The sequence below is a fragment of the Homo sapiens genome, chromosome 8 (assembly GCF_000001405.40).
Source record: "Homo sapiens chromosome 8, GRCh38.p14 Primary Assembly".
Lineage (NCBI taxonomy): Eukaryota > Metazoa > Chordata > Mammalia > Primates > Hominidae > Homo > Homo sapiens.
Window position 1 is genome coordinate 114,276,538 of NC_000008.11, and position 12,459 is coordinate 114,288,996.

At 39.8% G+C, this 12,459-nt stretch overlaps 2 annotated features.

The window, feature by feature from the left end:
* Positions 464-655: a silencer, noted in NCBI's record as "fragment chr8:115289230-115289421 (GRCh37/hg19 assembly coordinates)". NCBI's record gives its function as "represses an EF-1alpha promoter that drives an FKBP-Casp9 reporter gene in an ReSE screen in K562 erythroleukemia cells {active_cell/tissue: K562}" and the evidence as "EXISTENCE:reporter gene assay evidence [ECO:0000049][PMID:32094911]".
* Positions 4,968-5,890: an enhancer, noted in NCBI's record as "OCT4-NANOG-H3K27ac hESC enhancer chr8:115293734-115294656 (GRCh37/hg19 assembly coordinates)". NCBI's record gives its function as "activates a minimal SCP1, AML or CMV promoter by ChIP-STARR-seq in naive and primed H9 embryonic stem cells {active_cell/tissue: H9 hESC(naive and primed)}" and the evidence as "EXISTENCE:reporter gene assay evidence [ECO:0000049][PMID:30033119]".

Sequence of the window (12,459 nt, forward strand, 5' to 3'; positions counted from 1 at the left end):
TACATCTCCACTTTTATAAATTAATTGCTTATATTAATCAATTGACTCGTGAAATTTATTTAGTGAGTAGTTGGCAGAGCATGAATAAGAGAGCAAGTCTAGTCTCAATGTTTATATTCTTGATATTTGAAATTCATATAAAAAGCAGGTTTCCAAGGAAATACATATTACTTAATTTTGGACACAGTAATTATGAGATACTTCTTGCAGTAGAAAGGTAGGTATTCAGGGCTTCTACTCAGGACAGTAATCTAATACGTGACTAGAGATTTTGTCAGTGTACGGTTGGCAGTTATTGAAGCTATTTTCTGGGCAAGCTTGACCTCATACTTTATGTAGCACTAATGAGAATTAGGTCAGAAATGGAGGCTTATGGAATGTCAATATATTGAAAGGAAGAAAAGACATCCATTAAAAGCCCAAGAAGAAATGCCCTTCATCTTCGAAGTAGTCTTATTAAATAGTCTGAGTTTGACTCTGTCTCCAAATTCAACCACCCATTTAAAAGAAATACAGAGATATGCCCAAGAGCAGTGGCTCACGCCTGTAATCCCAGGACTTTGGGAAGCCGAGGTGGGTGGATTGCCTGCGGTCAGGAGTTCGAGACCAGTCTGGCCAACATGGTGAAACCCGTCTCTACCAAAAATACAAAAAAAAAAAAAAAAAAAAAATTAGCCAGGCATGGTGGCACTTGCCTGTAATCCCAGCTACTCAGGAGACTGAATCAATGGAATTGCTTGAACCAGGGAGGTGGAGGTTGCAGTGAGCCAAGATTACACCATTGTACTCCAGCCTGGGTGACAGAGCGAGACTCCATTTCAGAGGAAAAAAAGGAAAAAGAAAAGAAATACAGAGATAGAAAATGCCATTAGCAAAACTGAGCCTCTGGAAACTTCTAATGACAAATTTTCCAATTCACTTTTCCAAATTAATTGGCAGTGTTGGTATGGTGACAGAGAGAGCAAGATATGGAACAGAAAGCCTATAGATTAAAAGAATCTTAAAGACTCCATAACTGATTACAAATTATGAACCTTTTTTTGGCTCCAGTTTCCAGCAAATATTTTGTAATTTACATAATGAAATTTGTAGGACAATTAGAAATTTGATTACTAACCAAAGATACTGATATTAAATAGTTGTCAATTTATAGATGTATGAATGCCTTGCCATTGTGTTTTATTTTTATTTTATTTTTTTGAGATGTAGTTTTGCTCTTGTTGCCTAGGCTGGAGTGCAATGACTCAACGTCGGCCCACTGCAACCTTGCTTCCCAGGTTCAAGCGGTTCTCCTGCCTCAGCCTCCAAAGTAGCTGGGATTACAGGCATGTGCCGCCATGCCCAGCTCATTTTTCATATTTACTAGAGACGGGGTTTCACCATGTTAGCCAGGCTGTTCTCGAACTCATGACCTGGTGATCCACCCACCTCGGCCTCCCAAAGTGCTGGGATTACAGGTGTAAGCCACCGCCTGGCCTGTCTTTTATTTTTTAAATAACATTTATGTTTTAAAGATACATCCTGATGAAACACTCTCCAATACATTTTTCTGTGAGATTTGCTTTAAAATAATAGCTGCAAGGAATGTGGTGGATATCATGAAATAAGATTGGTGTGAGTTGATGACTGTGCAAGCTGGATGTTGTTATAGAGGAGGAACAATTACACTATTGCAGATTTGTGCATATGTTTACATTTGGTTAATGTATATTTCATATACTTAACAGATATATGTGATGCATGTTTAATGTAATATGTTTAAAATAAAAATTAAAACAAATATCAAAGAATCATCCTTTCTAGAGAAATAAAGGTATGACACAAAACATAATCCAAAGTAAAGAGTTTCAAGATAAGCAAAGCTATATAAAATCAAGTAAAATATGGCAAGCTATAGTTCAATGAACTTGACAATATTGAAATGATTGACGACTTGCTTATTTTTATTATTAACACAATCTTCCCAATCACATAATAACACATTTTTGTCATAGTCTTGTATTTCTAATTCTTCTTCAAACCCCACATTCATTTTTTCCTCCCTCAAGTTTAAAGTTGTGCAAGGGCTAACTTTTCTTTCACATCAGAGTTTTCAGAATGTTCTTTTCTTTCATGCATCATCTTTTCTCAGTGTTACAGTTGTCACTGCATATTGATCTCTATTGTAAAAGCTTGCTAGTTTCTTTTCTTTTCTTAAGCTGTGTTCCCCTCCACTGTATCCTGCAGCAACCCTTTCTACTCATCATAGCATTGGTTATTTAATTGCTAGGATCAAACTTCTTAGTTTTGATCCACTAAGAAAAATATATTTTTGCCTTTCATAGTAATATTATTCTGTGACACTTAAGTCACATTTCTAAATGTATTTAGCCTCAGATACATGCCAATAAAATAATTTATTGATTATGGTTAAAAATGTTTTTTCTTTGGATTTTTCCAGACAATAGCCATTCATTAATTTATGAAAGTCATCAATCTTTATACCAACAGATTTCTAAGCTGTGGAACAATTTCCCCTCTTGAAAAAATTAAGATCTTTCTAGTATCAACTTACTGGTTTTATGCTAACTCAGATAAAGAATTCTGCTGTGATTTTAGAAATGGTAAGTCAAAAATTTAAGTATTCTTTCTTTTAAGGTCAGAGACAACATAAATTTTAAGATGCTCCAAAGGGTAGCACTTTAATACAAATTTCAATAAATGTCACTAAACGTACTTGAATCAATTTAAACATTTTTTGACTTTGTATTTATACTCTGTGGTAATTTAATATGTATTTTACATAGACAAGTTGATAACAGAATATTCTATAAAGATTTTTGACCAAGTCTGAGCCATGGAAGTTTGACTGTTCAGTCACCCTAAGTACACTGTTGTAACAGAAACTGACAGTTGTTTTTATTGATTATAGATGTCATTAATTGAATGACATCAAAATTCTGTTTTTTGGTTTTGTTTTGTTTTTTTTTTCCTGAGTGTGCCATTTCTTTCTTGCTATGTTACTTTCTTTTTCACCACCAACCTTCTATCCCTTGGACATACATACAACTTCTTGAAGCTATTTCATCTTCTGTAAGGCAGAATTAATTCTGGTCTCCTCATCAATGAATTGACAGGAGCATGCTCAATAAATTGTGGCTGTTATTGTTGTTGTTGTTCATTAGCATTTGTCTTTAATATGCACTTCTGTAAATGCCCAATGTTCTTCTAGACTTGCAATCCTTACAGAGACTGGTTTATTCATTTTATATTGCGGTTTTAACAAACCATCCCCAAATTTAGCAGCTTAAAACAACACAGTATTTTATCTTATAGTTCTGGCAATCAGATGTCTGAAATGGGTTTTATTGAGCTAATATCAAGGTGTTGACAGGGCTGCATTCCCTTCTGCAGGCTTTATGGGGAATCAGTTTCCTTGTGCTTTTCAGCTTCTAGAGACCATCGGTATTCCTTGAATAATGACCCCAGTACTCCATCCATGGCCCTTTCCTCAACCTAGCAGTGCAAGGTCTTCAAACCTCTCTCTATCTCTGACACTCCTTCCTCCCTTTTACAGTTATAAGGATCATTGTGATTACATTGTGCCAATCTGGCAAATCTAATAATCTCCCTATCTCAAACATTTTAACTTAATCTCATGTGCAAAGTCTTTTTGACAAGACAGTAATATATTCAGAGATTTTGAGGATTAGGGTGTGTATATTTTGTAGAGCCATTATTCTGCAGGTCGCACTAGTTTTTCATTTAATAATTTTAAAAAACCAACTACTGAGTTTTTTTGTTAGTCAAATGTCTAGATTATGGTCTCTTCAGACTATTTGCTCTCTCTACGTGTGTATTCTTTTCTATATTAGTTATTTCTGCATGTCACATTCTATATCATTGTAAGGCTTTTCTTAAGTAGAGGTAAACTTGTGGCATGGTTAATTCTACTCAGTCATTTAAACCTATTTGACTTAATGCAAATGTCAACTTTTCTAAGCCACATTTTATTTATGTGTAAAAATGAAAACAAAAAATGTGAGATAATGCACACAAAATGATAATAATACCTAGAATGAGAAATACTTAATAAAGTTAGCTATTAAAATTATTATTGTTATTGATAGTATCTGGTGGGCAAATAGGACCTTCTATTGTTCAATTTCATTACACTTGCCATGTAAGGAAATTAAACAATTTTATTTTTGCTTTAAGATAAAGTATTAAAATCAGCTTGTCATTAGGTTACTGTCAATTTTAACCATAATCAATAAATTATTTTATTGGCATGTATCTGAGGCTAAATACATTTAGAAATGTGACTTAAGTGTCACAGAAGAATATTACTATGAAAGGCAAAAATATATTTTTCTTAGTGGATCAAAACTAAGAAGTTTGATCCTAGCAATTAAATAACCAATGCTATGATGAGTAGAAAGGGTTGCTGCAGGATACAGTGGAGGGGAACACAGCTTAAGAAAAGAAAAGAAACTAGCAAGCTTTTACAATAGAGATCAATATGCAGTGACAACTGTAACACTGAGAAAAGATGATGCATGAAAGAAAAGAACATTCTGAAAACTCTGATGTGAAAGAAAAGTTAGCCCTTGCACAACTTTTAATTCTTCTTCAAACCCCACATTCATTTTTTCCTCCCTCAAGTTTAAAGCTCTATACAGAGTTATATCTGTTATATATATGTATGTATGTATATATATATGTATATGTGTATATGTATATATATGTATATGTGTATACGTATATATATGTATATGTGTATATGTATATATATATATATGTGTATACGTGTATATATATATGTATATGTGTATATATATATAAATTCCACCTTCCCCACTCCCCAGTGGCAGAAGAGTTTATCATGATCCTCATGATCATGTACATCATCTATATTTGTTGAAGTGTTATCCATATAACAATGAGACTTTTATATTCACAAGGTGATATTTTCCAAAATACTAAATTGATAATATGGGCCACTAAATAACGTTATTTCATTATATTTGTTACTCTAATATAATATCTATGTCATCTGAATAGTAGCTTCTGAAATGACTGTGTGAGTTTTCCTGTGGATAGCAGAAAACATGAGGTAAATTGCACGGTATCTGCATAAGGAGAGATAAGTAAAGACACTGGCATATGATCAGTGAGAAGTGTCGGGCCTCTGGGCCCAAGCCAAGCCATTGCATCCCCTGTGACTTGCACGTATACGCCCAGATGGCCTGAAGTAACTGAAGAATCACAAAAGAAGTGAATATGCCCTGCCCCACCTTAACTGATGACATTCCACCACAAAAGAAGTGTAAATGGCCATTCCTTGCCTTAACTGATGACATTACCTTGTGAAAGTCCTTTTCCTGGCTCATCCTGGCTCAGAAAGCACCCCCACTGAGCACCTTGCGACCCCCACTCTTGCCCGCCAGAGAACAAACCCCCTTTGACTGTAATTTTCCTTTACCTACCCAAATCCTATAAAACGGCCCCACCCTTATCTTCCTTTGCTGACTCTTTTCAGACTCAGCCCACCTGCACCCAGGTGAAATAAACAGCCATGTAGCTCACACAACGCCTGTTTGGTGGTCTCTTCACACGGACGCACATGAAATTTGGTGCCCTGACTCGGATCGGGGGACCTCCCTTGGGAGATCAATCCCCTGTCCTCCTGTTCTTTGCTCCCTGAGAAAGATCCACCTATGACTTCAGGTCCTCAGACTGACCAGCCCAAGGAACATCTCACCAATTTTAAATCAGGTAAGCAGCCTCTTCTTACTCTCTTCTCCAACCTCTCTCACTGTCCCTCAACCACTTTCTCCTTTCCACTCTTCAATCTCTCCCTTCTCTTAATTTCAATTCCTTTCATTTTCTGGGAGAGACAAAGGAGACACGTTTTATCCGTGGACCCAAAACTCCGGCGCAGGTCACAGACTGGGAAGGCAGCCTTCCCTTGGTGTTTAATCATTGCAGGGGCACCTTTCTGATTATACACCCACGTTTCAAGGGTGTCAGACCACGCAGGGACGCCTGCCTTGGTCCTTCACCCTTAGCGGCAAGTCCCGCTTTTCTGGGGAAGGGGCAAGTACCCCAACCCCTTCTCTCCTTGTCTCTACCCCTTCTCTGCCTTTCTGGGAGAGGGGCAAGTACCCCTCAACCCCTTCGCCTTCACCCTTAGCGGCAAGTCCCACTTTTCTGGGAGAGGGGCAAGTACCCCTCAACCCCTTCTCCTTCACCCTTAGTGGCAAGTCCTGCTTTTCTACGGGGCAAGAACCCCCAATCCCTTATTTCCGTGCCCCAACCTCTTATCTCTGCACCCCAATCCCTTATTTCCATGTCCCACCTCTTATCTCTGTGCCCCAATCCCTTATTTCCGTGCCCCAACCTCTTATCTCTGTGCCCCAATCCCTTATTTCCGTGCCCCAACCTCTTATCTCTGCGCCCCAATCCCTTATTTCTGCACCCCGACCTCTTATCTCTGTGCCCCAATCCCTTATTTCTGTGCCCCAACCTCGTATCTCTGCGCCCAAATCCCTTATTTCCGTGTCCCAACCTCATATCTCTGTTCCCCAATCCCTTATTTCTGCACCCTGACCTCTTATCTCTCAGCCCGAACCCCTTTTCCCACTTTTCTGGAAGGTAAGAACCCCCGAACCCCTTCCCTCCATTTCTCTACTCTCTCTTTTCTCTAGGCTTGCTTCCTTCATTATAGGAAACCTTCCACCCTCCATTCCTCCTTCTACTCCCTTGGCCTGTGTTCTCAAAAATTTAAAACCTCTTCAACTCACACTTGACCTAAAACCTAAATGCCTTATTTTCTTCTGCAATGCCGCTTGACCCCAATACAAACTCGACAGTAGTTCCAAATAGCCAGAAAATGGCACTTTGAATTTTCCCATCCTGCAAGATCTAAATAATTATTGTCGTAAAATAGGCAAACGGTCTGAGGTGCCTGACATCCAGGCATTCTTTTACACATCAGTTCCTTCCTAGTCTCTGTGCCCAGTGCAACTCGTCCCAAATCTTTCTTCTTTCCCTCCCACCTGTCCCCTCAGTACCAACCCCAAGCGTCGCTGAGTCTTTCTAATCTTCCTTTTCTACAGACCCATCTGACCTCTCCCTTCCTCCCCAGGCTGCTCCTCGCCAGGCCGAGCTAGGTCCCAATTCTTCCTCAGCCTCTGCTCCTCCACCCTATAATCTTTTTATCGCCTCCCCTCCTCACACCTGGTCTGGCTTACAGTTTTGTTCGTGACTAGCCCTCTCCCTCCTGCCCAGCAATTTACTCTTAAAAAGGTGGCTGGAGCTAAAGGTATAGTCAAGGTTAATGCTCCTTTTTCTTTATCCCAAATCAGATAGCATTTAGGCTCTTTTTCATCGAACATAAAAATCCAGCCCAGTTCATGACTTGTTTGGCAGCAACCCTGAGACACTTTACAGACCTAGACCCTAAAAGGTCAAAAGGCCGTCTTATTCTCAAAATACATTTTATTACCCAATCTGCTCCCGACATTAAATAAAACTCCAAAAATTAAATTCCGGCCCTCAAACCCCACAACAGGATTTAATTAACCTTGCCTTCAAGGTGTACAATAATAGAAAAAAGTTGCAATTCCTTACCTCCACTTTGAGACAAACCCCAGCCACATCTCCAGCACATAAGAACTTCCAAATGTCTCAACTGCAGCGGCCAGGCGTTCCTCCAGAACCTCCTCCCACAGGAACTTGCTACACGTGCTGGAAATCTGGCAACTGGACCAAGGAATGCCCGCAGCCCGGGATTCCTAAGCCGCATCCCATCTGTGTGGGACCCCACGGAAAATCGGACTGTTCAACTCACCTGGCAGCCACTCCCAGAGCCCCTGGAACTCTGGCCCAAGGCTCTCTGACTCCTTCCCAGATCTTCTCGGCCTAGCGGTTGAAGACTGACACTGCCCAATCACCTCGGAAGCCCCCTAGACCATCACGGACGCCGAGCTTCAGGTAACTCTCACAGTGGAAGGTAAGCCCGTCCCCTTCTTAATCAATACAGAGGCTACCCACTCCACATTACTTCCTTTTCAAGGGCCTGTTTCCCTTGCCTCCATAACTGTTGTGGGTATTGACGGCCAGGCTTCTAAACCTCTTAAAACTGCCCAATTCTGCTGCCAACTTAGACAATACTCTTTTAAGCACTCCTTTTTAGTTATCCCCACCTGCCCAGTTCCCTTATTAGGCTGAGACACTTTAACTAAATTATCTGCTTCCCTGACTATTCCTGGACTACAGCTATATCTCATTGCCGCCCTTCTTCCCTATCCAAAGCCTCCTTTGCATCCTCCTCTTGTATCCCCCCACCTTAACCCACAAGTATAAGATACCTCTACTCCCTCCTTGGCGACCGATCATGCACCCCTTACCATCTCATTAAAACCTAATCACCCTTACCCCACTCAACGCCAATATCCCATCCCACAGCACGCTTTAAAAAGATTAAAGCCTGTTATCACTCGCCTGCTACAGCATGGCCTTTTAAAGCCTATAAACTCTCCTTACAATTCCCCCATTTTACCTGTCCTAAAACCAGACAAGCCTTACAAGTTAGTTCAGGATCTGCGCCTTATCAACCAAATTGTTTTTCCTATCCCCCCCGTGGTGCCAAACCCATATACTCTCCTATCCTCAATACCTGCCTCTATAACCCATTATTCTGTTCTGGATCTCAAACATGCTTTCTTTACTATTCCTTTGCACCCTTAATCCCAGCCTCTCTTCGCTTTCACTTGGACTGACCCTGACACCCATTAAGCTCAGCAAATAACCTAGGCTGTACTGCCGCAAGGCTTCACAGACAGCCCCCATTACTTCAATCAAGCCCAAATTTCATCCTCATCTGTTACCTATCTCGGCATAATTCTCATAAAAACATACGTGCTTTCCCTGCTGATCCTGTCCGACTAATCTCCCAAACCTCAATCCTTTACAAAACAACAACTCCTTTCCTTCCTAGGCATAGTTAGTGAGGTCAGAATTCTTACACAAGAGCCAGGACCGCACCCTGTAGCCTTTCTGTGCAAACAACTTGACCTTACTGTTTTAGCCTAGCCCTCATGTCTGTGTGCAGCAGCTGCCGCTGCTTTAATACTTTTAGAGGCCCTCAAAATCACAAACTATGCTCAACTCACTCTCTGCAGTTCTCATAACTTCCAAAATCTATTTTCTTCCTCATACCTGATGCATATACTTTCTGCTCCCCGGCTCCTTCAGCTGTACTCACTCTTTGTTGAGTCTCCCACAATTACCGTTGTTCCTGGCCCAGACTTCAATCCGGCCTGCCACATTGTTCCTGATACCACACCTGACCCCCATGACTGTATCTCTCTGATCCACCTGATATTCACCCCATTTCCCCAAATTTCCTTCTTTCCTGTTCCTCACCCTGATCACGCTTGATTTATTGATGGCGGTTCCACCAGGCCTAATCGCCACACACCACCAGCAAAGGCAGGTTATACTATAGTACAAGCCACTAGCCCGCCTCTTAGAACCTCTCATTTCCTTTCCATTGTGGAAATTTATCCTCAAGGAAATAACTTCTCAGTGTTCCATCTGCTATTCTACTACTCCTCAGGGATAATTCAGGCCCCCTCCCTTTCCCACACATCAAGCTCGAGGATTTGCCCCACCCAGGACTGGCAAATTAGCTTTACTCAACATGCCCTGAGTCAGATAACTAAAATACCTCTTAGTCTAGGTAGATACTTTCACTGGATAGGTAGAGGCCTTTCCTACAGGGTCTGAGAAGGCCACCGCAGTCATTTCTTCCCTTCTGTCAGACATAATTCCTCAGTTTAGCCTTCCCACCTCAATACAGTCTGATAACAGAAGGGCCTTTATTAGTCAAAACAGCCAAGCAGTTTTTCAGGCTCTTAGTATTCAGTGAAACCTTTATATCCCTTATGGTCCTCCGTCTTCAAGAAAAGTAGAATGGACTAAAGGTCTTTTAAAAACACACCTCACCAAGCTCAGCCACCAACTTAAAAAGGACTGGACAATACTTTTACCACTTTCCCTTCTCAGAATTCAGGCCTGTCCTCGGAATGCTACAGGGTACAGCCCATTGGAGCTCCTGTATAGATGCTCCTTTTTATTAGGCCCCGGTCTCATTCCAGACACCAGACCAACTTAGACTGTGCCCCTAAAAAACTTGTCTTCCCTGCTATCTTCTGTCTAGTCATACTCCTATTCACCGTTCCTAACTACTCATACATGCCCTGCTCTTGTTTACACTGCTGGTTTACACTGTTTTTCCAAGCCATCACAGCTGATATCTCCTGGTGCTATCCCCAAACTGCCACTCTTAACTCTTGAAGTAAATAAATAATCTTTGCTGGCAGGACTATGCTGAATCTCCTTAGGCACTCTCTAATCAGATATCCTGAGTCGTCCCAATTCTTAAGACTTTTTATACCTGTTTTTCTCCTTCTGTTATTCCATTTAGTTTCTCAATTCATCCAAAACCGTATCTAGGCCATCAGCAATCATTCTATAGGACAAATGTTTCTTCTAACATCCCCACAATATCACCCCTTACCACAAGACCTCCCCTCAGCTTAATCTCTCCCACTCTAGGTTCCCACGCTGCCCCTAATCCCGCTTGAAGCAGCCCTGAGAAACATCGCCCATTCTCTCTCCATACCACGCCCCAAAAATTTTTGCCGCCCCAAAACCTCAACACTATTTTATTTTTCTTATTAATATAAGAAGGCAGGAATGTCAGGCCTCTGAGCCCAAGCCAAGCCATCACATCCCCTGTGACTTGCATGTATATGCCCAGATGGCCTGAAGTAACTAAAGAATCACAAAAGAAGTGAATGTGACCTGCCCCACCTTAACTGATGACATTCCACCACAAAAGAAGTGTAAATGGCCGGTCCTTGCCTCAAGAGATGACATTACCTTGGGAAAGTCCTTTTCCTGGCTCATCCTGGCTCAAAAAGCACCCCCACTGAGCACCTTGCAACCCCCACTCCTGCCCGCCAGAGAACAAACCCCCTTTGACTGTAATTTTCCTTTACCTACCCAAATCCTATAAAACGGCCCCACCCCTATCTCCCTTCGCTGACTCTTTTTGGACTCAGCCCACCTGCACCCAGGTGAAATAAACAGCCATGTTGCTCACACAAAGCCTGTTTGCTGGTCTCTTCACAGATACGCGCATGAAAGGAAGATTAAGAAAAACAAAAAAATGTAAATTTACTGGACACTGAATATATACTAAGTACTGCTTAAGTGATTTACATGTCAAGATTAAAATATTTTGCTTTACTTTAATTATCATCATATTCTTCATCCATCTTTCATTTCATCTTCATCATGCCATTTCTTTCTCCTTCCCCTGGGCCTGAAATTTTATCAAGAAGACACACTTGCTGTGTGACTTGATTAATTTACTTAAGCATGGTAAGCCTTTGTATAATATGGAATTAGAAAAAAAAGTCTTCTTAGAAGTATTTTATGAAAACGACATGAGAGACAGTATGTATATGGTTTGCATCACATGTCTGGCATTATTTACCATTAATTGTTTTATTCTCTTAATTTGAGCAATTTACTTTTGAAATGCTATCTGGAAACGGTGTTAATTTTAAGAAAGGTTGGGCCTCTATGTAAAAATACTGTAAGAGGTCACAACAACAAATATGTCTTAAATTCTGATGATGTGTTAAAAAGCTTGAGAAGCACTCAATAACAAAAACATACTCACTGACATACAGGAAGGTGAAATGAGGTGTCCATGGCTAGACAGCTAATAAATGTAAGAGACAGATTCTGATCTCAGATGATTTGATCAGAAACTTTTAACCACTATATGCTGAATTAGCACTAAAATATAAATCTAAAAGTTGTGTTCTTTTTAACTCTTACTAGGTACTATTTGTTAAGACATTTTAAGAATACAGTATAAAGATTTTTGCCAACTTTTTCATGCTTAATGCTTATGTAAATTAATTTCTTAAGTAAGATAGCATGCCTATAAAAATCCTAGGGATAGTGTATTACCCATGAGATTTCTAAGCTATATTTTTTAATGTAGTAAATCAAAGTGGGTGTATTCCAATTTCTTACAACTAGAAAAGCTAATTTCGATAAAAATGAAATATTTACATGAATCAACTGCAAGGTTTTTAAAATATATTATTTTTAATTAAAAATAATCGCTGGCGAGCAAAAAGGTTATTTTGGCTATATTGTTCGTATCTTGAAAGTACCCATACCGCATTAGTGTATATCCAAAGTAATTTATATTTTGTCCTAAATTAATATGGTGTTGGTTGAATTTTCTATGTAGAAATATTTTTGTTTTAATAGAAAATACAATTTTCCATTTTGGCAGTTACACAAATATAAAATATATTTACACTTAACTGTATAGTTCAAATGTTATTCAATTATTTTATATTTATAATTATTGCAATATAATTT